General features: G+C 37.6%; 2 long non-coding RNA genes across 4 annotated transcripts in view, besides 1 other annotated feature; one reads left to right on the top strand and one right to left on the bottom strand.

The window, feature by feature from the left end:
* Positions 1-1730, top strand: part of TACR1-AS1 (TACR1 antisense RNA 1) — a 125490-nt gene extending 123760 nt beyond the window's left edge. For both annotated transcript variants that reach the window (NR_168009.1, NR_168010.1), the window contains exon 4: positions 1-1730. This is a non-coding gene — a long non-coding RNA (TACR1 antisense RNA 1).
* The window catches only part of LOC107985900 (uncharacterized), an 85220-nt gene that overhangs the window by 54596 nt on the left and 4820 nt on the right, over positions 1-25804 (bottom strand). For both annotated transcript variants that reach the window (XR_001739546.2, XR_001739545.2), the window contains exon 1: positions 1061-25804. This exon is cut by the window's right edge and continues 4820 nt beyond it. This is a non-coding gene — a long non-coding RNA (uncharacterized LOC107985900). The remainder of the gene's footprint in view (positions 1-1060) is intronic.
* Positions 9654-9703: an enhancer, noted in NCBI's record as "active region_16084". NCBI's record gives its function as "activates an Ori minimal core promoter by ATAC-STARR-seq in GM12878 lymphoblastoid cells {active_cell/tissue: GM12878}" and the evidence as "EXISTENCE:reporter gene assay evidence [ECO:0000049][PMID:35858748]".

Below are 25804 nucleotides of genomic sequence, written 5' to 3' on the forward strand. Positions count from 1 at the left end.
CAGGCTCGTCTGAGTATATTCCTAGGTGATGGCAGAGGGGCAAGAAAGCAAGCAAAAAGAAGCACAGAAGCCCTCTCATGGCCAAAACTGGCTTGGTGTCACTTTTACCTCATTCTATTGGTCAAAAAAAGTCAACAGGCTGAGCCCAGAGTCAGAGTGGGAGAGTACTGCATGGTTACATGACAGAGGATGTGGATATGAGGAATCGTGAAGAACTGCATCCATTAGAGCCATCTGTCACAGAAGGGACTATTGTCATTTTACTAATTTTGTACATGAGGATAGGGAAGCATGGAGATGGTAACATGCCTAAAGTCACATAGCTTCTTAGCTGTGGAACCAGAAAGTAAACCTGGGCCTTCTGGGCCCAGGGCCCGTGGCTGTTAAAACCACTGTGCACACTGCCTTACTCCTACCCTTCACAATCAGGTTTCTGCTCTGACCACCCTAGAAAACATGCCCGTCTCAGGTTACCGATGCTCTCCTATGGACAGATCCAATAGCCTTTGTTAATTGTCCACATCTCTATCCATTCTGTAATACTCCTGCATGCTGCATCCTTGGAGTTCTTTTCTCCTTTGATTCTGCAGAACCTGTACTGTTTTGTTTCTCTTTCTGGCTTCCTCTGTCTGTCTCTCTTCACCAACTACATAATGCATTCACTTCTTTTTCTTGGCATCTCCCTTTCCAAGCACACCCACTCTCCTGGTTTCCATTATCTCCCTGCAGACAACTCTCAACTGGCTCTAAGAAAGCTCACTATAATTTTCAGCAACCTAATTCAGTCGTTTGTCCGTCACAAATAACAGCTCAGGAAAATCAAAGGATTTTCTCACTAGCATCTTATCATTCCATGTCACCTAGCAACTATCCCAGTGCTTGATATTCTGCTACTAGAAACTCCCTACTACACAGATAATACCACTGGAAGGTATAAAGCCACTTGACTGACCTCTCTCCATTCACAGCATTTATAACTGTAAGAAATTGCCAGTGGTTGACTCTTTCCGACCTTCGAAAGTGGCAATTTCATGTGGTTCAGCTTAATAGTATTTATTACCTTGTGCTGTAATAATTTTGTATCTGTATCTCCCATGAGACTCAAAGCTGCTTGATTGAGGAGATCATGCTTGCTTCTGCTTTTCATCAAGTTGCCTAGTACATGACACTCTGTAAGGATTAGACCAAGTAGGTATTGAATAATTGTTTGGCGAATTTAAAAAATTAAAGAAACATTTGAAATCAATGCACCAGAGGCTAGAGACAGAGTGCTAGGAAGGGAACAGGATGGGGACAGGGACACCAGAGCAAAGATAGAGTCAAAGACACATTTCCAAAATGGCAATTCATGCCTTGTGTCAGTTGTACCCACCTCACATTCTTTAACACTTAAGGTTTTTCTGGGTAGTAAGTGCAATACATTCTTATTATAAAACAATATAGACAGTTCAGTATGTATAAATGAGGATAAAATCAAAATCACCCACAATCTCACCACTTTGTGATAATAACCATTAACTTCAATATTGATGAATTTCCTTGAATGTTTTATCTACAATATTTCTTTCATATAGTTGATATCACTCTGTATGCACAAACTTGTATCCTTTTTCTAAATCTTAATATCATAATATTAGCATTTTCTAATGTTAGTAGATGTACTTCTTAAATATTGCTTTTTAATGATAAAGGTTTTTTTTTTTTTTTTTACAAATAAAGATTTGTCTATATTTTGGGTTATTTCCTTAACACATATTCACAAAGGTAAGAATTAAAAAGTAATTTTAACTAAGTCAAGGAGCATGAAAAGTTTTTAGATTCTTGGTACACATTTTTATCCAGTGTTTTAAAAAACTACTACCATAGTACACATCTCCAATTTCAATATCTCTATGTGAGTGCTTGCCTTATCATGAAAAAGTCAATATTGAATATTATTATTATTTTATTATACTTTTATAACTTCATTGGCAAAATGTTAACCTGCCATTTTAAAGTTTGCCTTTGTTAGATTATTAGAGAGATTGAATTTGTTTTCAGACAAATATTTTATTAAGTATGTTATTTTCTCATGAAAATGGTTTGTTCATAACCTTTGCCTTTTGATCTATTGGAATGTGTTTTCTAATCAGCAAGAATATTAGTTTTATTTTGCTTATTATATATTTGAATTTACTTTTACTTTTATAAAAATAATACCTGCATATAGTTAAAAGCCACAGGGTGCTAAAAGATTTGTGGCAAAATAACAGCAGTCCCTTTCTCTGAAGCCCTCCTCAGGACCTATTCTCATGTGTCAGAAGCAACTACTTTCAATTTTTTAGCTGTTTCTTCTAAACATTTTTTGACCATTTTTTGAGGTTGGGTTTTAGGTGAGATCTGCCATGGTATCCTATTATGAAGACAAAGATTTTGCCTCTTTTAGACAGCCTCCTCATTTTCTTCTTAATCCTCCTAAAGTGGTTAAAGTGCAATTTTTGGTTAAATTACAAGTCAGTGTTTCTAAATGCAACGTGGACTCATGCATTGGATCCCGGAATAGAAAAACTGGTAAAATTAAAATGGTATCTAGTGTCACATAGTACTGTATTGACAAATGTCACATGGTTATGGAAGATATTAAAATGCAGGGAATCTGGGTGAAGGGTATACAGGTATACAGAGACTATATACAGGTATATAGTCTCTGTACTATATTGACAACTGTTCTATAAATCTAAAGTTATTCCTAAGGTAAAAGTTTATTCAAGGAAAGTCAGTATTTACACTACGATACACATATATTTGCTGCTGAGCCAAAAAGTATGCCATAGTTATGGCTGCTTTGTAGTACAACATTTACTTTTTTTTCTAGAGTTAATACTTGCCTCATTTTAAATTTATTTATGAAACTATGTTCCAAATCCTCAAGTAAATCTGTTTAACAGATATGACAAATATCTGTCAATATTATTATCCAAGTGCTTAAATACATCTGATAATCTACAGTTAAATATGTTTTAATCTACAGTTAAATATGTTTTCCCCTGGTACCTCCTTCTTTGAGCCCTTGATTCTACTGCTCTAATTTGGTTGATTGATTTGGAACCTTCCTTTTCCTCTTCCCTGTGTTGGATTTGCTGTTTGCTGGATTCCTGTCTTACTTACTCTTCACTTATCCTTTATTTTGCTAAAATAAATATATCTTCCATACCATTCTAAGAAAGAGTATATGATGGATGAACAGTTGAGTCAGGGCTAATACTATTCTTACTCTACTCTTATACCTGTTTGTAATTTGAATAGTATAGAATAATAGCTGGGAATACATTTTCCTCCGGATTTGGAAGGCATTGTTCCATAGTCTTGTAGCTTCCAGTGTGACTCTTGAATAGTCCGATATGATTCTGATTGCAGATTCTAATTATGCACCTATTTTTCCTCCGAGGTTACTTATTTATTTTTTTTGAGGCGGAGTTTCGCTTTTGTTGCCCAGGCTGGAGTGCAATGGTACAACGTTGGCTCACTCCAACCTCTGCCTCTCAGGTTCAAGCGATTCTCCTGCCTCAGCCTCCAAAGTAGCTGGGATTACAGGCATGCGCCACCACCCCCAGCTAATTTTGTATTTTTAGTAGAGATGGGATTTCTCCATGTTGGTCAGGCTGGTCTCGAACTCCCAACCTTAGGTGATCCACCTGCCTCGGCCTCCCAAAGTGCTGGGATTACAGGCGTGACCCACGACGCCCAGCCTCGTCTGAATTTTTTAGCATCTTCTCCTTATCTATCTCTGAAGTAACATTTTACTATCATGTATCTTGATTAGTTTTTTCATTCATTCATTCATTCATTCATTCATTCATTCATTCATTCATTCTTCTGGGCATTTTGACAAGATCTTTCAACCTAGAAATACGGTTTTTCTTCTTTATTTTCTTCTTTATTCTCTCTGATCTCTGGAGTTCCTACTAATTGAGTCTTCTGGGTTGATCCTCTAACTTTTCTCTCCTAATCTTTTTGTTTTTGGTTTTGCTCACTTTCTGAAATATTTTCTCAATTGTATCTTCAAACTCTTCTATTGCTTTTGAAAAATATGGCTATCCTTTTTGATGTCAGTCTTTTTGGTAGATTTTTTATTTTATTTTGAAGGCTATAGAGCAATAACTGGTGATCCTAAGCTGTCCATTCATACTTAAGAATAAAGTATTAAAAAACTAATTAGGAAACTATTCCAAGTAATTTTAAAATGCAATACTATGACTATAAAACTGTAGTGGGTTATACTCCAAAGACAAAAACTATTCCAAAATATATTTAAATAGTTTTCAGTAATCATATTGTTTGTACAAATTGATACTGTTATTCTAAGTTGTAGAGTATGTATTCCTACATAAAACAAATGAGTAATTATATGAAATTCAAATTCTATCATCCTCAGTGTTGTTGAAATCAGAATTTTCATCATGGGAGAAAGGGCACGATAGAAGAGATTAAATAAAAGCTCTAGTCTGAATTTAAATTGAAGCATCATTTTAAATTTGTCATGTATTTTATCTTTTTTAAAAAAATAAATCTTAGCCTTGTCTACTGAAAAAGTCTAGAAATAATGACCGACCTAGTAGCAATAAGTTTCCCTAGCAGCCAAATGGTAGTCTTATAATACCATTTCCCATTGAAAGCAGCCAGAGTTATTTAGAGAAATGGCTGATTCCCGGCCCAGAACAAATTGTCCTACAGACAGCAAGAAAAACTATGAATGACTAATGGCATCATGTCAAAAGGACTCAGGAGCCCACTTTAAAAGGCCCTTATAGCCAAAGATGGGACAATTGAGCGTAAAAAGGAAAATAAATGCAATGAATTGAGACACATTAGATATTTTTAAAATCATGAGATCATAAGCATATCAAAGAAATCTAATTGGTCAACATTAGAGAACACTGGGGAACCAACTCATTATTTTTAAAAGCGGTAAATAAAAAGATGGGATCAAATAATTTATGGGAATGTTTCTCTGTAAAATTATTTTACCTAATAAATAAAGACAAAATAATAGAGTTACAGTATAGCAGTTTTGCAAAATAAATGAATCTAGGTATTGAGCTTCCGTGGCTGCTAACACCATTCAAAAAAGACTCAGTGAAACACCATGTACCTTCTAATGAGCCAACCCAACACCGTCTAAGAAGTAGCTTTGCCACGAAAATAAATCTGAATCTGATCAGCCTTCATTTCCCACTCTCAACTTAAAAGAAATACAGAAGACAGAGGTGTATGTTAAACTTAGCATGAGCAATTGCTTCCAGTTTAGCACTGGAAGTCCTGTGTCTCAGAAAGCCCCCCAGTCCTAGGCAAACCTGTGGGGTTGTCACTCTATCTGGAAAAGTCATCAGGAAAACCCAGAATATGGCAAAGCCTGTCAGTGGGGTGGGCACAAAGATCTTGACTTTAGTTGATTTCTTCTGCTCTCAGTCCTAAGCTTCACCCTAATAATTGGGCCTGAGTCTTTCTAGAGTTTGGTGAGACAAGCAGCCTGCTGCTTTAGGCTATCTTTGTCCTCAGGCACTCACACAAAGTTGTCCATTTTCTGGCCATTTCTCCATCTACTTTTTTTTTTTGGTGTGTAAAATTGTCATAAAATATACATAACAGAAAATTTATCATTTTAGCCATTTTAAAGTGTACGTTTCAGTGACATTAAGTACATTCACATTGTTGTGCAACAATGACCACCATCCATCTCCAGATCTTTTCACTATACGCAACGGAAACTCTATACCCATTGAACAATAACTCCCCATTATCCTTTGGCCCCACCCTGGCAACCACCATTTAACTTTTTGTCCCTTTAGATTTCACTACTTTAGGTACTTCATAGAAGTAGAATTATACAGTATTTGTCTTTTTGTGACTGGCGTTTTTCCCTCAGCCTGATGTCTTCAAGGTTCAACTGTATTTTAGCATGTATCAGAACTTCATTTCTTTTTGTGGCTGAATAATATTGCATATATATATGCATATATATACATATATAATGTATATTTTTGTACAGTGCATGTGTAACATTGCATATATATGCATATATATATATGCTGTGTTGCTCTTTGTACAGTGACTAACAACAGATAATCTATCAATATGTTACTACATCATATTATTTGTGCCTAAACATTCATTACTAAGTACACACGTTAAAGGATGTAAAAAACACATGTACTAAGTACACATGTTAAAGGATGTAAAAAGGATGTTTTCTTTTTTGGACTTTTAATTAAGATCTCAAACCCGGGGAAAATAGGTATTAAGTATCCCCTCATTCAAAAGCAAGTCACTTGACTGTCTCTGCAGGACTTGCAGAGAGAATGACTCGAAACTAATCTGCCTTGATACCTCCTATCACCTCCAGGCTATGTAAGAATGAGCTAAGGACCAAGAGGTCCAGAGGAAGTCAGAGTGTTGGGACATCCCCCACCCACAGGGGAGATGAAAGCTTTTCAAAGATTACAAAGAGGTCTGTTCTGACAGCATAGGGAGTGAGCCTGACTTCCAGTGGATAAGAGTGTGTGTTTCCCATGGGACAGACAGGTGAGGACTCTGGGTTATCCTGGAGCAAGAGCCGCTGGAAGCCAGGGCTTGACAGGAGTCATTGGTGGCCACTGAGGAGATATTGTCCATAACAGGGAGCTGCAGTTGGAGGTCTGCAGTTGGGAATATGCAACCCTGGAGAAGCCAAAGGCAGAGTCAGTGGGGAAGACGGGTAGAAGATCAAGGTAGGGAGAAATAATGAAGGAAGTACCACAGTCCCTTTCCCTATTGCTGATCTCAAAACATGATTCACAGCAGAGCTTAGAAAGGGGGGAAGTTTTAGTTTGTGTAAAAGACTGAAGTTTGGGTATATGGTATTGAAGTTTTAGAATTTTGAACTAATGGAAAAGTTCTGGAATTTGCCTGAGGTCCATCCAGTGCCATAGAAGGAAGATTAAAGAGAGCCATTTTACCAGAGGATGGTGAAAAATACAGTGGCATTCTGTTTACACACTACTTAGTTCAGGTCAGTTTCATATATTAGTACTATTTCTTATTCATGGGTTTTCATCTATGTCCTATTATCTGTCTCTTCATCTATATGCCAGAAGTATACTGTGATGTCCATTGTAACTTTCAATGATGCTCTAATATTTGGCAGATTAAAAAATAGTCTCCATTTGATAATGTATGATCTTGTATACAGTACACCCTTATCTCATACAACCCTCACCCCATACATGCAAGGTTACTATTTTCCCCATTTTAGAGCTGAGGCTTAAGGAACTTAAGATCACAAAGCCATTATGTGGCTGTCAGATCCTTAACCTGCACTCTTGACATAGGACTGTGCCCAACCTGCTATGCCCCCTTATTAATCTTTTGTCAAGAACTTCACAGATACTCTTGTCTGTTTATTTCTCTGTATTACCTTAGTATTAGTTTGCCAATGTATTTGGCTGAGCGAGTAATTACCTGATCAAGTATATTCTCTTTCCAGGTTCTCTCTGCCAGAGGAGACTCTTCTTCTAAGGGACATTTATTTTTTTTACATGGTAGTCACTCCAGATAGGCAGATTGTCACACTAGTAGGGAAAAATGCCCCATGTATTTTCATACCTTAGTCTCTTCATTAGTTCCTTCCTCCCTGGGTTGTTTCCTTATAACATTTGCCGTCTAAAGTGTATCATGATTTTTCCTCAACTCTGCAGTGCTTATATTATTTTCCCCACATTAAACATTTGGAATTAACCATTCCCTTACCTTCCCACTTCCACTTTTTCAAATTACCCCTTTCTTTAAAGCCTAATTCATGTTTCAAATGCTCCACCATTATCCCAGTCAACAGCAGGCATCTTTTCAGTCTGAATTTATTGTGTGCCGCTTGATAATGTTAGGAGCCTTCCTGTGATTTTATGTTTGCTATGAAAAGCATGGCTCTATCTCAAGGGCTCTTAGTATGAACTGATGAGGGTGGGCAAGCCTGTTATATGGGGTGATGATGGAATGGGGTGGGGTGGACAGATCAACTTTTGTGATAGGTGTGGCCTGACAGCTAACTCTCCAAATTGTCAACAGTGAAGTGTGCTGCCAACCTAAGCCTGATTCTAGCCAGCATCTATCCCCAGGGCTGAATGGTCATGCCGTTCACATTCATCTATGCTCAATGCAGCCAGGGCAACTTGGACATGTTTCAATGTACTGAAGAATTAAATCTCCCCATCTCTCCCTTGATTCCAGGATGGAGGCACTCGGGCTGTCAGGCATTTAAAAAATAAACCTCAAGTGTCTTTTCTATGTCAAGCATTGACCTAGAAGTGAGATAGGGAAGACAAGCACTGTGCCTTCATGGGGCTTATAACACCAGTGGAAGGAGAAAGAAAAGTACAAAGTCAGAAGTTCATGACTGCAGTCATGGACTCACAGCCCAAGGAAGTCTTTCTGAGTCAAAGGAGACATGTAGAAGAGCATTTAGAGCAAGGGTTCTCAACTGGGGGTAATTTTGACCTCCAAAGGACATTTGGCAATGTCTAAAGACACTTTTAATTGTCATAACTGTGGGAGTGGAGGCTGCTAGTGGTGTCTTGTGAGTAGAGAGGCTAGGGATGCTGTTAAACCTCCCAAATGCACAGGACAGCCTCACAACAAAGAATTATCTGGCCCCGAACATCAGGTGTGCCAAGTTTGAGAAACCCTTCTTTAGTGGGAGGGCAAAGAAGCTGAGGGAATCAGGACTTTCACTGACTGGGCTGGGGTTCAGGGCTGAGAGCCAGTAATAATAGGAATAAGGACAAACAAAACAAAACAAACAAAACAAAAGCCTGAAAACTACGGCAGAGGGTGAGTTGGATGTATAGATTAGCAGCAGCAGTAGTGTCATGCAGCTGTCATAAGTGACAGCTTGGGGAGCTTGGCTACAGAAGATGATTCCCAGAGCCATTTAAGGCAAAGGAACGCCTACATGCCTGTGATGGACTCAGAGTGAACCTGCAGGTGCTGGCTACTACTGGCTGAGTGAAGGAAGTCAATAGGGTTGAAAGTGGCCTTTAAGTGGGCCTGGTGGCTCACGCCTGTAATCTCAGCACTTTGGGAGGCCAAGGCGGGTGGATCACGAGGTCAGGCGTTTGAGACCAGTCTGGCCAACATAGTGAAACCCTGTCTCTACTAAAAATACAAAAAATTAGCTGGGAGTGGTGGTGCGCACCTATAATCCCAGCTACTCAGGAGGCTGAGGCAGGAGAATCGCTTGAACCTGGGAGGCAGAGGGTGCAGTGAGCCGAGATCACGCCACTGCACTCCAGCCCAGGCGACGGTGCAAGACTGTCAAAAAAAAAAAAAAAAAAAGAAAGAAAAGAAAGAAAGACAGAAAGTGGACTTTCAGTATTTCCTAAATAATTTCAGGGTAGGGACTAATTCTTAGCATGTTTATGTTCTCCATAATGCTTAACCAAGTGTCCTATATTTGTTCAATTACTGCTTATTAATTGACTGATTGATGGTGTCCTTAATTGGTCATGCCATTTCCATCCACCTATGCTCAGCACAGCCAGGACAATTTGGACATCTTCCAATGTATTGAAGAATTAAATCTCCCAGTGAGGATCTTGGCAATCATATCACCAATAGGCTTGGATTCAAATCTGCATTTAAATAGCAATGAAACAAACACACTCCATCCCTGTGGATAGCAAGCAGCATAATCTGCTTACTTATGGCTGGGCACCTGTGAGAAATGAAAGTGATAGGCAGTAACTTCAGTGATGAATTACAGAACAGTTTCATTTAGCTCATTGCACCAAGACAAAGCATCCCAGCAGCCTCTGGAGAAATTAATGTACCTTAACTTGAATTAGTGGATAATTTCAGATCAGCTATTTTACATATCTAGCTGCTTCTCCTTCCCTCCATAGGCCACCTCTTGCCCTTTCTCTTCCTAAATCTGGCTCTCAAAGCTAAGTATTCTAGAAGTTAAACATTGAAGTAGAAATCAGTGGACATGATTCATGTCCTTACCCTCTCAGCAGATGCCTAGCCTTGTTCCTTTTTTACAGAGCCTTGTTTTCACAATTGTCATGTTAGCTCATGGAGGAAGTTGTTACTTCCTCCCATGATAGTTACATGACCATGGAGAACCCTAGAAGTCAGACAGACTTTACAATCCAAAGAAAATTACTCCTCGGTGGTAGGATTTTAGGTACCACAAAGGCAACTGTGGACAGAGAAAGCCTCTGACTGCCCCTAAAAATCACATCATATCTACAAATAAATAATGATGCCATTGCTTGATCATTAAATTCCTGTGGGATGTTGGCCGTGAAACTTCATCTTTTTGTATCTCTATTTCTCCCTTCCTGATGATACTTCCTTTCCATTTGCCAATCCACAACTGGCAAGGAGATCATCAAACGCAGTGGGCAAAGGCAGAATTTCTCTCTTTCTCATAGTATTTGCTGTAGTTCCACACATGGTGACTGAACACCTGGAGCAGAGGCCCCGTTGCACACTGAATTGGCCTCATTATATCATGAGCAAGATCTTCTATCACTGTTACTCCTTATTGTTGTGAAGACTTCTTTTATGTCTGGAAAGACATTTAGGCAACTTAGCATTGTGATAGAAAACAGCTAAACTACTACAGTTTTCTAAGTTCAAATCAAGATTTCACTCACCCCCTAGCATCTTACTAAAACCTGGGTTTCCTATAGGGGAGGATAAATTGCCCACAAAGTTATGACTACCAGAATTGGGACTCTGTTCTGTGAAGTAGAAATAAATGCAGAGACCATTTTTTCATCCTAGAGTAAGTAGAAAAAAAGCAACAGTTATTTTCACTTTCTTTTGGCACACTTGGTTTGGCCTAAAACCATCAACTGTAGAGGTATATTGGTCTTGAAAAGAAAAAACAACCAAGGTGTACAGAAAAGGAAGTGCCTACTTGCATAGTGGAGTTAGAGAAGGTTTCCCAGAGAGGCCATTTTACTTGGCCATTGAATGCTGCAAAAGTAGAACTTTTATAGACATGCAAGTATCAGAGGCATGTGAACCAGAACAACTCCATCTTGAATAGGAACTGGGCAAAATGAGGCTGAAACCTACTGGGCTGCATTCCCAGACAGTTAAGGCATTCTAAGTCACAGAATGAGATAGGAGGTCGGCACAAGATACAGGTCATAAAGATCTTGCTGATAAAACAGGTTGCTGTAAAGAAGCTGGCTAAATCCTACCAAAACCAAGATGGCCAGGATAGTGACCTCTGGTCATCCTCACTGCTACACTCCCACCAGTGCCATGACAGTTTGCAAACGCCATGGCAACGTCAGGAAGTTACCCTATATGGTCTGAAAAAGGGGAGCACGAATAATCCACCCCATGTTTAGCATATCATCAAGAAATAACCGTAAAAATGGGCAACCAGCAGCCCTCGGCTATGCTGTCTATGGAGTACTCATTCTTTTATTCCTTTACTTTCTTAATGAACTTGCTTTCACTTTTCACTGCGGACTCGCCCTGAATTCTTTCTTGTGTGAGATCCAACAACCCTCTCTAGGGGTCTGGATGGGGACCCCTTTCCTGTAACATATTTCTCTGTCCTGTAACACTAAGAATAACAAGACATTACAGCTGTTTCTGTAATAAACAGCCAATAAACATTAACAGCTTAAAATGGTAAAGGTTTATTTCTTTCACTGTGTGCCCTTTCTGGGTTTGCAGGCACATTGTGTATTACTGTCATTCAGGAAGCAAGCTTCAAAGTTGCTTGTTACCATGCCAGAGACAAAATTAAATATATCAAAACATACTGGCTCCAAAAGTGACACACAACACTTCTACTCAACTTCCACTGGGGAACACAAGGCACATGGCCACGCCTAACTTCAAGTGGGCGGGAGAGTCATTCTTCCATGTTCCTGGAGAGTGGGAAGCAGAATATTTGTGAGTAGCCTTAAAACTATCCTGAGGCATGTGGCTAAGAAGAAAGGCATCAAAGAGCCTGGCATGTTTGAGACACAGTAAAAAGGTGAAATCTTAGCTTGGAAACCACCAATGAAAAACGTTATATGCCATACAATTTGGAATTTGTTCTGAAGGTGTGAAAAGTTTTTTTAAAAAGGATGTTAAGCCAAGGAATGATGTATTACATTTGTTTGAGGTACCTGATAATCAGATTAAATCAGATTCCAGCGCAATGATCCCCCTTGCTGCCACATGTGGAAAAATTCACAGATAACCTTGATGGGCTCCTCCATATGGGCTCCTAGGAAGAAAGAGTGAGCCAGGGTTCATGATGGGGCAGCACCAATTTGCTTTCCTGATTTTGTAACAGGGAAAGCAAAGTATTAAGCAGTATGGAGTGATCATTTTGCACTGTAGCATACTTCTTAAAGTTCATTCAGGTACCAGAGGCATTACCATGCATTATGCTAGGAGCACTGCCCCATGGCCAGTAAACTGAAATGCTATTTCCAGACTGGTAAAAAGTGAGATTAGCAAATGTGTTTACAACTTGCAATCCTAGCCCTTCACCCAGGAGCTGTGTTGAAACAACCTGAATCTAAGGGCATAATTAAGAGGACCCAGGGATTTATAGTTTGAGGCTTTTTGCCTGAGTACTTTCCCCAATTCACCCACTACTCTGAGCACAGAAATCCACAAATGTGCTGTCCTGAGGTGTGAGAGGGCAAAGGTCACAGCATTAGAGCAACCAGAATGTTCAAAAGTGTGTTGGTTTCCTACGGCTGCTGTAACAAGTGGCTATAAACTAGGTGGACTGCAATAGCAAAAATTTATTCTCTCACAGTTCTGGCTGTCAGCAGCCTGAAATCAGGGAGTCAGCAGAGCCGTGCTCCCTCTGGAGGCTCTAGGGAAAATCCATTCCTTGCCTTTTCAAATTTCTGGTGACTCTAGGCATTCTTTGGCTTGCAAATTATCACTACACTCTCTGCTTCCAAAGTCACATTGCCTCCTACTCTTCTGTATGTCTTCTTTTATGTGTCTCTGTCCCAACACTTCCTGTCTCTCTCTTATTAGAATACATGTGATTGCATTTAGGGCACACCCAGATAATCCAGGATAAATTCCTGCTCTCAAGATTCTTAATCACATCTTTGCCCCATTCATTTCATTTATTCATTTTGAAGGTAACATTCATAGGTTCCAGGGATTAAGATGCAGAAATATATTTTGGCAGGGGTGGGGGGGGCTACCATTCAACCCACTCTATAGTGGAAATCCTGGAAGGAAGGGTTCCTCAGAGGGATTGAGCCCCAAAATATGCATTTAAAATATGCCCAAAGCTTTGGCTAGCTGTCAAACTATACTATAAGTGTGGGACCCAAGAGAGCCTGATCAAAAAGAAGCAGCTGAAAACTGAAAAAACTGAGTGGAGATTCTAGCTGCTGCCAATGGAAAGGGAGACCATTTGGAGTTTGACTCTAGCTAAGTTAACTCTCTGCTAGAAAAAAAACAAATCATGCTCCAGAGAAATAACAGAATCTAAAGCCTCCATGGAGGAGTTGGCTTCAGGTCAAAATTGTATAACCATAAACAATTACAAAGATTTACCTGGCAGCCTGGCAAGGGGGAAAACTTACCCTCCCTCCCCGTGCCAGACTTGGTGCACAGTTAGTACATTGCAATCTCTGAAGGAAGTTGAGACTCCTTCAGAGACTGAAGACTCTGAAGTGGAGGACTCAGTCACCCTCTCCACCAACCCTAGCTAGCCATGCTCTTGTGCATATCTGCATTTCCAGCCAAGGCACCTCCATTCAGCAGCCTCCTTATGGGTAGGGTGGGGTGGGGTTCAGCTTAGATACCATGCAGGCACCACTGCTAAGACCTCCTTATCCTTGAGGACACTTTTCACCACTCTGACTCAGTCTTTCATGCGTATCTTTTTCCTGTTTCTCTCATTCCATCCCCCGAGTCCAGAAAATGGCAGGAACCTTTTGTTCCCCAGCTGCAGTGATCCATCTGACCCTCACCTGGTGGCACTCCATGAGGAAAAAATGGAGCATTGAGAGAACTGGCACTACTCTTCTCTTTTTGGCCTCTTGCTTAGACTAACACAGTAAGTGAATAAAGGCTTGATTGTTGCTTTCAGTTTGGCTGTTGCCTGAATTGATCACCTTGACACCTCATAGCTCTCAACATCTACTCTATATATTCATAATGTACAGTTTTCAGTTAAAAAATAAGACATGTAGAAACACAAAAATGATGGTGATACTCAAGAAGAAGGAAGATGAGGACGAGGAGAAAAATATAAACCAGACCCAATATTGTCTAGATGCTGCAATTATCAGACAAGGACTTTAATGCAGCTGTTATAAATATAGTCAAGGACTTAAAGGAAAATATATGTACAATGAATAAGCAAATGGAGAATATCCATAGTGAAAAAAACTATATTAAAGAACAAAATTTGAATTCTAGAGCTGAAAAAAATAAAATTATAGAAATAAAAATTTATTGACTTAACTGTAGATTAAAAATAGCAAGAGTCAGTGAATTTGAAAATAGATCAATAGAAATGATCTAATCCGAAGAACAGAGAAAAAATGATGGAATTAAAATGAACAGTCTCTCAGAGAACTGTCAAACCATTTATCAAGTAGCTTAATGTGTATGCAATTGGAGTCCTGGGAAGAGAAGAGATAAAAAAAATTGAGCAGAAAAAATACTTAAAGAAACACTGAATGAAACTTATGAAGGACATCAATTTAAAGATCCAAAATGCGCCCACAAACCCCAATAAATATAAATGCAAAGAAAATCACATCAAGACATATCATAGTCAAATAGATAAAATGGAAAGATAAAAAAGAATTTTGAAAGCAACCAGAGAAACAATGATGTATTACATACAGTGGAAAATGGATGCAGATCACGGCTGGCTTCTTATCAGAAACAATAAAGAATGGAAAACAATGGCTACTTTCCTGGCAAAACCTATGCTATGACTCATATCTCAGTCATATTATAAGCTACAGCTAATAGATAGAAATCTGCTCTAATCACCCACACAAAGTGTCATTATAGAGACTAGAGCCAGGTTTCTTACTCATTATGGAGTAGAAGAGGCAGTGTATAGGCTTCTTGGGATACTAACTAAAAGACACTGGGACCAAGGCTTCAAAGAAACAATGTCAAGTTGGGGAACAGAGGCCTCAGAATTGGGGAAGTCAAAAGCTAAAAATGCAGTACCAGCTGTTTACAGCAGGCCCACTGCCATCTTAAACCTATAGTAGGGCTTGAGCAGGCACATTGGCTTCAGGATCTGATTTTTAAGATGGAGATGGCAAGAATAGCGTTGTAGCCTCTAAGATTAGGCCTACAAGTCCCCTTAACAAGAGTAGTTGCTCTAACATATTGATTCTTTACAATAGACCAACAACTTGGGGATTCAATTATTCATTAAACAAATATTTATCATGCACCTACTCTGTTAGGCTATTTTACATTCTGGAGATACATCAGTAAGAAAATAAGGCAAATCTTATTGCTCTTATGTTGCTTATATTCCAGCAGAAAGAAAGAAAGAAAAATTATGATAAATAAGTAAATTATCTTATATTAGCAAGTAATAATTAGTATGGAAAAAACAGAGAGATTGTGAGTGTTGAAGGAATATTGAAATTTTAGATGGGATGGTCAGGGTAGGCTTCACTTAGAAGGTGACATTTGAGCAAAGAGTTTAATGATAAGGAAGCATTGTGAATATCTTGGGAAAGAGTTTTGCAGGCAGGGATAATAGCCAGTGCAAAGACCCTGAGGCAAGAATGTGCTTTCGGCTGCACAAGGCCTAGTTCATGCATCCAAACAAGAGGTTGGAGCAGTTTATTTCCTCTCTCTTTGAGGTCAGGATGGATTTTGGGAACTGAAGTGGACTGAGCCAACAAGGCAGGGATCAATATCCAGCAGCTATAAGGAGAAGTGGGGATGCCAAGGCTGAGACTAGGACTGGGCCTGAGAACAGTAGTATGAACTCTGCCACTTCTCACTCAAACTATCGTCTAGCTTTTCTCTTTTTCCTGGATCTTCTTTGTGCCTAATCGATATGTTATTTGTAAGCATGAAATCTGACTTTATGAACTCTGTGATAATGTACAATGTTTTCAAGTTGTTTCACTAAAGGAGTAATTATAAAGTCTTAATTGCTTATCTTTTATATCAAAGCATTGAAATAACATTTAAATAGATCAAAGTGTTTAGAGAAAGATGCAAATTGGCTTTATCACAAGAATGTGGGAGAATCTGGACTTTGACTTGGCATATAAGTTGGGTTGCCTGTCCAGTACCACCTTAACTCCTGAAAAATAGGGGCTCCTGCTCAAACTGAGGCTGTACCTATCACAAACACCAATGAATGTGGTAAAGAACACATAATACTTTTGGCCACAACTAGTCAGTGCTGGTTCATTGTTACCCATAACTCAGCATTTGCTCCTGTGGTTAACACCACTCAGGCCCCAAAGAAATGCTTCAGTACATTTCTTGGTCTGTGTGCTCAAAGTACAAAGTAACTGTTTCAATAATACTGTAAGGTTTATGGGTTATGCTGCTGTTGATATTGGACACAAATGGCTTTGAAGTGCAAGAGAACTGGAGCAGTGAAAGTGCGTAGTTAAGTGAAAAGATAAATTATTTGACTTGTCAAATCTCTACTCTCAGATAGCATGCATACAATGAATTCTTGTGCAACGAAGTATAATTTCTCTATAATGCTGAGTGTCTATTTTTTTGCTCTTTGATTTCATGTCTTCAGAGTTTCTCACAAATTAGTATGGAATCCCAACAATTGCAAATGGCAGCTGAGGAATATTTTATAATATCAAATAATTCACATCACTTAAATTTTCATATGTGTAGGTCTATACATAACTTTTGTAGTGCATAACACAAATTTTTACTTTGACAATTAGATGGATATGGTATAAGATAATTGTGAATGATTTCATGTAAAAAATGTTTGATAAGATTTATTTTCAAAAAGTAAAATAAAAGTTGATATTCACCAGTTGTAGTTGTATTTCTTATATTTTAGGAGAAAATTTAATCTGAGAGCATATAATATAGTTTTAATTAATTTTTTACATTTACTTTAAGATTTTTAACTAAAATTTACACAGATGTTTAGAGTTCAAATATATGTCTCAGTTTTAAATTCTCAGATCATTGCTATCAATAGAACAGGATTTTGCCAGAATGGAGACAAAAAAAATGAATGTAATGAAATATATACATAGTAAATTTTGAATTATGTATGTCTTAATATTGCTGTTTATCCAAACATTGCCAGACTATTAACAGACACCCAGATGCAGCAATAACTAAATGTAATCACTTTTGATATTTGATTCATTTAAATTAAAACCATAACTTTATACATATTTTTTGATTTTTATCTTTATGAAGATACATTTGTCAAGATTAGAAGTAACATTTTATTCAATGATTGGTTTATAACTTTTACATATTTAAACAAAATGTATGTTTCTCCATTTGTACTCTTGCCCTTGGTCTTTGAAATATTAGGGAAGCTTCTCCCCTGGCCTTCTATCCACAGGATCTTTTCAGTATGATGATATGAAGCCCAGGGCTCCAAAGATAATTTTTGAAAAGATCATCCCAAACAAGTCACACTCTGGCTGTGAAATATACATTATTTAGATTCCAGAAGAATCAGGTTTGGGGATTCCTTCACCTAACAGTACCTTGTTAGAACAGTGGCTCTGTAATGAAAAGGGGTGAGGACCTGGAGTTAGAAGTCCCAGGTCTATGTCCCAGCCTCATTAGTTACTTCCTTTGTGATCTTAGACAAAATAACTCACCTAGAACATCAGTTTCTTCATCTACGTGATAATAAGTGCTGTTTTGACTACTAAATAAGATGACATGTAAAAGCCTACAGAACAGAATATTGAATTTTGATAGTTGGATTAATAGCCAATCCCAGAAGCAATTTGTGGCAAACACAGTGTGTACTTGTTTACCTGATGGGCATTTTCTGGCTCTTTGCCCTATAGTGCTAAAACAGGAAAGAAAATTTCAAACATATACAAAAGCATAAAAAAAAAGTAGAATAAGTTTTGAATTACCTACCTATACTCCTCTACTTCTCTCCTTTCCCATGGATAATTTTGAAGCAAATTTCAGAGTTATATCACTAAATTAATAAGTATACTTTTTATTTCAGGAAGTCTTTTTATTACACAGGAATTAACATATTTTAGAGTTTGCCTTTGGCATAGATTTTAGGTCTGACATTTGGCAGTTTTTCAAAAGTCTTAATTTCTTTTTTCTCATCAGGGACTCTAGAAATGAATTGAGCAGAAAGTTAATAGATTATCACCTATGTCACCTAAACACATAGCACTAGTATCAGTACTCTTTGGGCATTCTGTAATTTCTAGTAATTTTCACTCTAGCATTATTTCTTCATGCTAAGCATTGTCAACAGAAACACCAATAGAGTCCATCCTTATACCTGCTAGGTTATTAAAATTTTATATGTGGTTGATTTCTCTCTAATTACTAGCTGTAAAACTCCTATCAAAATAGAAAGCTTATTTGTATGCATGTTGTTTCACAAACTGCAGGGTGCAGAACAAATTAAGACACTTTCTTCTGCTTCCCAGAGAGTTAGTGCATTAGCTTCTTATTGCTGCTGTAACAAACTGTCACAAATATAGTGGCTTATGACAACGCAAATTTATTATCTTACAGTTCAGAAGGTCAGAAGTTTAAAATGTGTTGGCAGTATTGGGATCCTTCTGGAGGGTCTAGAGGAGAATCTGTTTCCTTGGCTTTTCTAGAAGCCACATACATTTCTGGATTCTTGGCCTCTTCCTCCATCACCAAAGCAGCAGCATAGCATCTTCTGTTTCTGTTTCTGTGCTTAATTTATTACATTGCCTTCTGTCTTTTATCCTCCTTCCTCCCTCTTATGAGGACCCTGCTGGTTACATTGAACCCATTCAGATAATCCAGAATCTCTTCATCTCAAGATACTTGATTTAATCACACTTGCAAAGTTCTGTTCTTTTCTTTTCTTTTTCCTTTTTTTTTTTTTTTTTTTGAGACAGAGTCTCTATCCCCCAGGCTGGAGTGCAGTGGCGCGATCTCCACTCACTGCCACCTCCGTCTCCTGAGTTCAAGCGATTCTCATGTCTCAGCCTCCCGAATAGCTGGGACTGCAGGCGTGCACCACCACACCTGGCTAATTTTTGTATTTTTAGTAGCGACGGGGTTTCACCATGCTGGCCAGGCTGGTCTGGAACTCCTGACCTCGGGTGATCCACCTGCCTCGGCCTCCTAAAGTGCTGGGATTACAGGCATAAGCCACCGTGCCCAGCCTTCTTTTCTTTTAAATGTAACAAAACATTTCATAGATTCTGGGAATTTGAGTATAAACATCTTTGGGAGACCATTATTCAGCCTACCACACCCAGCCAGCTTAGGGATAGAGAAAAAGGGAAAAGGAAGGATAAAGCAAGCAAGAAAAATAGAGGGAGGCAGCTGGTGGAGAGATGACGACAGGTTTGCAGCAAGATGGTGCAGAGAAGCAGGAGAAGCATCCCTATGTGTCTGACTTGTAGAAAAGTGCTATGGCATGAATGTGTCTCCTAAAAGTTCATGTGTTGGAAATTTAATCCCTCTACCTTATGAATAGTTTAACAGATTAATGAGGATTCTTCTCTCATGAATAAATTAATGTCACTATCACAGAAGTGGGTTCCTTATTGAGAGAGTAGTTTTGTTTCAAAAGTGGGCTCTCTCTGACTTTCTTCTTCTTGCCCTCTTGCCATATGATGCCCTGTGCCATGTTATGACACAGCAAGAAGGCCCTCATCAGATGCCAGTGCTATGCTCTTGGACTCTCCAGCCTCCAGAACTTTAAACTAAATAAACTTCCTTTCTTTATAAGCTATTCTGTCTGTGGTATTCTATTATAGCAACAGAAAATGGACTAAGACAGAAGGTGCTCTTCAACAGCTGGCAAATTAGTGGGTGGAAGCTTCTATCTACAACCTGCTGAAAGCTTTAGAAAAGTGGTGAAAATATCACAGAGAAATGTAGAAATAAGGACTGTTTTAGTGTTTTTTTTCCTGTGGGTACATATATTCTTAATATTTATAAACATGTCTTTTAACCATGAGTAATTTTTATAATACTGGTTTATTCTGAGTGTATGCACACATTTAGACCCTAAGAACCCTAGAATAAAAATAAAAATATTAGCCAGGTGTATTAGTCTTCTAAGGCTGTCATAACAAAATACCACAGACTGGGTGACTTAAATGAGAGAAATTTATTTCCTACAGTTCTAGAGGCTGGAAGTCCAAGCTCAAGGTGTCAGTTTTGGTTTCTCCTGAGGTCTCTCCCTTTGGCTTGCAAATAGCTGCCTTCTTGCTATGTCCTCATATGGTCTTTTCTTTGATGTCCCTTCCTTTTTTTTTTTTTTTTTTAAGGGACACCATTCACATTTGATTTAAACCCTTACCCACATGATCTCATTTAACATGAATTATCTCAAGGGCCCTTTCTCCAAATACAGCTACATCGGGAGTTAGCCTTCAACCTACACATTTGGGAGAAACAATCATTCTATAACATCAGGAATCAGAATGTGCTGGATAAGACAATCTTCCAGATACTATGTTTTGTACTAAGAGTACATATCAGATAACACTGTAGTAAGTATGGGTTGAAAGAGACAATTCCCAAAATGGAACAAATAAAGTGAAGGCCTAACTCCAAACCATCCAGTAATGCCTGCCTCCATAGTCAGAGTGCTCTAAGCAGAAAGAAACACAAGGGCAAAAGTCCTGAGAAGGAAAAGATGCTTAGTAGAGTTGAGGAGTAGAGAGAAGATCTCTCTAACTAGAGCATGGGACAAGAGGGAGGAGGGTAGGAAGGTAATTTTTTTATTAATAGGGACAAATCATGTGGGGCTTTGCAGGACATGGTAAGGACTTTAGATTTTTCTTTTATGCAGAAAATAAAATTTTATCTCATTGCCACTGTGTGGCTGATGAACTTGGGGTTGGAGTGGTAAGAGAGCATCTAGGAGACTGCTTATGAGGCTGCTGTGTTTCTTCAGATGGGGGAAGAGGTGGTTTGACCCAGAGTCATAACAGTGTAGTGGTATTCAATGGTCATATTTGTAATGTATTTTGAAGGTGACCCGAAGGGGGTTACCGCTAAATTAAATTTGGGGTGTGAAGGAAAAGAAAAGAATGAAGCTTGTAGAAAGAGCCCTAGAGAACCCAATATTTTGAGAGCCGATTTGGCAGGAGATGCCCAAAGGAGATAATAAAACAGAGTGCCACCTCCACGGAAGATCGGGACTGAAGACTGGGGCTAATGGGCAGATTGTGGAGAAACCAGGAAAATAGTTATCTTCCTTAAAATGGAATTAGAATGTGATTTTCCAAGAATATTTTATTCCTGAAAAGGGAGAGACTGACGATTGAGATAAACTGGATTGCATCCTCCATCGCTATGCAGTAATTGTACATGTCAGGCACAGCAAGAGTTATGCCATGATCTCCTGTGATATTGTTTGTAGTGGATAAAATGGAAAAGTATAGCATAGACAATATAGGGATTTGTAATTTATTGAGAAAATTTGCTCCAAATGACAAATGACTCAACTACAGCTTAGGAATACTTTTCTTATAACTATAGAAAGCTGCCCATAGCTTAGATGAGGACATAGAGGGCTTGCTCGTTAAATTTGTGTATGATATGAAGCTACAAAGAGACATGAATACATAAAAGACAAAATCATTATCTAAAACCATTTGCATTTATATCTAAAAAGTTTAATTTAATGAGGATTTATGTAAGGTCTTTTACATGGTCCAAAAAAGCCCCACAAACAACTGAACAAATGCAAGTGTGGAGAGTTATGAGTGGATAGACACATCCATGAAAGACATAGCAGTTTTAGCATTCAGAGAGGCCAATATTAGCCTGTAGTGTGATATGACTGCCAAATAAATTAATGCAATCCCAGGTGGTGTTCATGATATATTATCTAGATATACATATCTTAGATATGTATATATATACGTGTGTGTATGTATACATTAGACCACATTTAATCTCTTCGAAGTCACAACTTAAGAATATTGACAAATGGAAATAAAGTTTAACCAAGAGAGATAGACTGAAAAACACACCTAAGATATGGAAGACCTAGGTTATGTTTAATTCATTCAACAAATATTTGCTGTATGATCAGTTCGTGTCAGATGTCTTTATAGGCACAGGAGCTACAGCAGGAAAAAACTGCTCTTAAAAGGATGAAATCCTAGAAAGGAGTAATAGCTAATAACTGCTATATAGAAGAGATATAAGATGCATTCTGGATGGATCAAAGGAGAAGACATTAAAATGATTAGGAGCTTTAGGAAAATCTAATTTTAATATTTAAAAACTAACAAAATTCTTAACAGCTTTCTAAGAAAAATGAATTATTTTGACATAGTAAGTTCTCTTTTAGTAGACTTGTTAGGAAAAATAGGAAGCCATACATTTAATCTTTTCTAAAGGCATTTTACATGCACATTTTAGAAAAGTAGAAGTACAAAAAGAAAGAAAAATCACACTTAATTCAATAACTTTGTGGTAGTCAGTATTTCTCCCTCTTTCTCTAAATATCTGTCTCCATACACTGAAGATCAGGATCACACACACACACATGACTAATCCTATAATTATATTTACATATTAGATGGTTGAGATCTTACTGTGATATAGCTTTACGTTCCTTTTTTACTAAACATTATAAGTATTTCCATAACACTTAAAGTTCTCTGTGAATATCATATTAATGGTGGAACAATATTATATCATATGTGCCATGGATTTTTAAACCATTCCTCTGGTGCTGGAAATTTATGATGTTTTAATTTATTTGGTCATAAATGATTCTGTGGTAAGTAGCTTTGTGTTCGCTGTGCTCTCATCTAATTATTTACTTGGAATAGAGTTAGGAAAGTGTAATTACTATGCAAAAAGCTATGGGATTTTTTAAGATTTTAGATGTATATTATAAAATTAATTTCAGAAAGGTTAAATCCATTTACATGCCTATTAGCATGAGAATTCCAACCTCACCTCACTCTTAGCCAATATTATTATTTTTAAAATCTTTTCTAATTTCATGGGCAAAAATTAGTGTTACATTTTCATTGACTCTCCTTAGATGACTAATGAGGCTGAAAATGTACTTCAGATACTTATTAACTACTTGTCTTTCCTGTAAGTTTTCTTATGCTCAAGTTTTCCAATGGTGGTGCAGAATTTTCCTTATTGACTTGAATATAATCTCTAGACAGTAAGAATATTACTTTGTAAATATTTATTATGTCTTTGTGGCAATTACTTTTTCTTCCTTGTCTTTCTTCTTTGGTTTTGATTATTATATTTACATAGCAGAAAAAATATTGATAAATTTGATGATAAAAAATAAAATTTAGTGAATATTATAAAATAATATCAAAATAAAATGCATAAAGCTTTGAGACACTTGAATCAAATGTTTCCAACAAAATATTAACATGCCTCATATTTAACACTTCAAGCAAATCTATGAAAAATATCAAAATGCAATAAATAGGTGCAAAAAGAACAAAAACACACAATGAATCCAAGAAACAGTTTAATCTCCACAGCAATGAAATAAATCAAAACAAAACATCAACATCAATGATGAAATTTCATCTATCATATTATCAAATATTAAAATAAATGATAATACTGCTGTCCGCATGGTGATACAGATGCATGCAAATTTTGGGAAAACATTTTGGTAACATGCTATGTATTAACAACTTCAAAATATGCTTATTTTTGTTTCAGTAAGTGCAGTTTTGGAAAATTGTATTGAATCAGAGATATGACACAGGCATGTTTATTGCATCATGATCTGTAAGCAGTCTACATATGCAATATAAAGAGATGATTTAAGTAAATTATGTTCTGTTTATAAAGTGAAATGTCATGCTGCTAATGAGTGAGACTGTCATTTTGGAAATTAAAATAGGATAGCTAAGAAAACATTCAGTAAAATGCTTGAAAGATAAAACTGTGGATATCCCCTGGAAAGTAGAAGAAAAAGGTGAGAAATATATGGAAATCCTGGAATCTGTTTGGGAAGGCCAACATTCAATTAATAGGTTTCCAAAAGGAAGAATAAGTAAATTAGTGGAAAAGGAAATGATCAAGGAGTAAAACATGCAAGGACATTTTCCAGAACTAAACGATATTTGTTTCCAGATTCCTGGGCCCTCATGGCCACCATAATGCATGGGAGGGGTATGTAGGGAAGAGACCCACACCAACATAATCATGACATTTCAGAACACTCTGGAGATAAAGATCCTAAATATTTCCAGAGAGAAAAATCATGTCTCAGGCAAAGGCCTGAAACAAGAAGGCAGCAGATTTTCTCAACAACAACACTGGATGCTAGAAGACAAAAATGCCTCGGAAAATCTGAGAGAAAAGGATCTTCAACCTAGAATTCTATATCCAGCCAAACTATCAATCATACAGAAGAGTAGAGTAGTGGTATTTTTTTGGCCAGCAAAATTTCAAGAAATATACCTACATTTATCTTCATTGAAATCCTCTCAAGAAACTACAAGAGGCTGTTTTGTACCAAAGCTAGGATTTATAGTAAGAGAAAAGCACAGAGTTCAGGAAGCAAAGGTCTCTAACAGGAGGGAGGCAAGCAAAATCCAAGGATGATGGCAAGGTAGCTCCCACAGGTCAGCTGTGCAGCAGGCAAAAGGGAAGCCTGTCTTAATAACATTGTGTGGACAGAGGAACTCTGGATGGCTATCTCTTTCCGTTTATCATAATCACCACTAGTCCTTATAAATTTCCCAACTGTGATCTGCTACCTGATAGATTTGAACGTGAAGAACATTGTAGTAAGAGGTGTTTTATGTAATTGTTGAAGGGTGTCAGAAGACTAAGAGATTAAAAGAAATGAAGAAAAAATGTCAATGAGGCAACTTTAACTCCAAGATAAAGAAAAAAGGTAGTAATAATCATTGCTTTTTTTTATATTTTACTGACTACTTCCATCACATGACTTAATGTTCTAAGCCATTTTACACATATCAACTCATTTAATTGTAAATATCACCTTAGCAAGTTGGTACTATTGATATCTCCGTTATTCAGGTGGGAAAAAATAGAAAGATTGGCCTGAGGTGCCAGAATGGGATTCAAGCAGCCTGTTAGGCTCTGAACTGCCTCTCTAAGAAAGAAAATGTAATCACAGCATTCAATTTCATTTGGCAGTAAGCACTATTTGCATAGTCAAAATGATAAAACCACTGAGTACACATTGAACCAAAACTGTCATGTAATCATATCAGGAGGATGAGGGAGTGGGAAAAAGAAAAGACATAAAAGCAAATAAACTAACAAAACACTCTGCCTGCAATAAGAGTCAATAAATAACACCTAGACACACACATATGTGTGCATATATATGTACATATGTGTTCATGTGTGTATATATCTAGGTATTTATCAACTTCCTGTTACTGCGGGTGATATATGTGGATATATATGTATATGTGGGTGTGTATGTGAATAATATGGAGGAAAATATTCGAAGAAAAAAATCGAGAGTAATAGCTTCTAGTAGCTATTTGGCAGCATTTGATTTTTAATTTAAAACTATGTGCATGTATTACACACACATACATACCTATACCTATAATGTACTATATCTATGTACATTTCATGCTGACAAAGATTTTTAAAGGTCTTGGTC

Source organism: Homo sapiens, chromosome 2 (assembly GCF_000001405.40).
Source record: "Homo sapiens chromosome 2, GRCh38.p14 Primary Assembly".
NCBI lineage: Eukaryota > Metazoa > Chordata > Mammalia > Primates > Hominidae > Homo > Homo sapiens.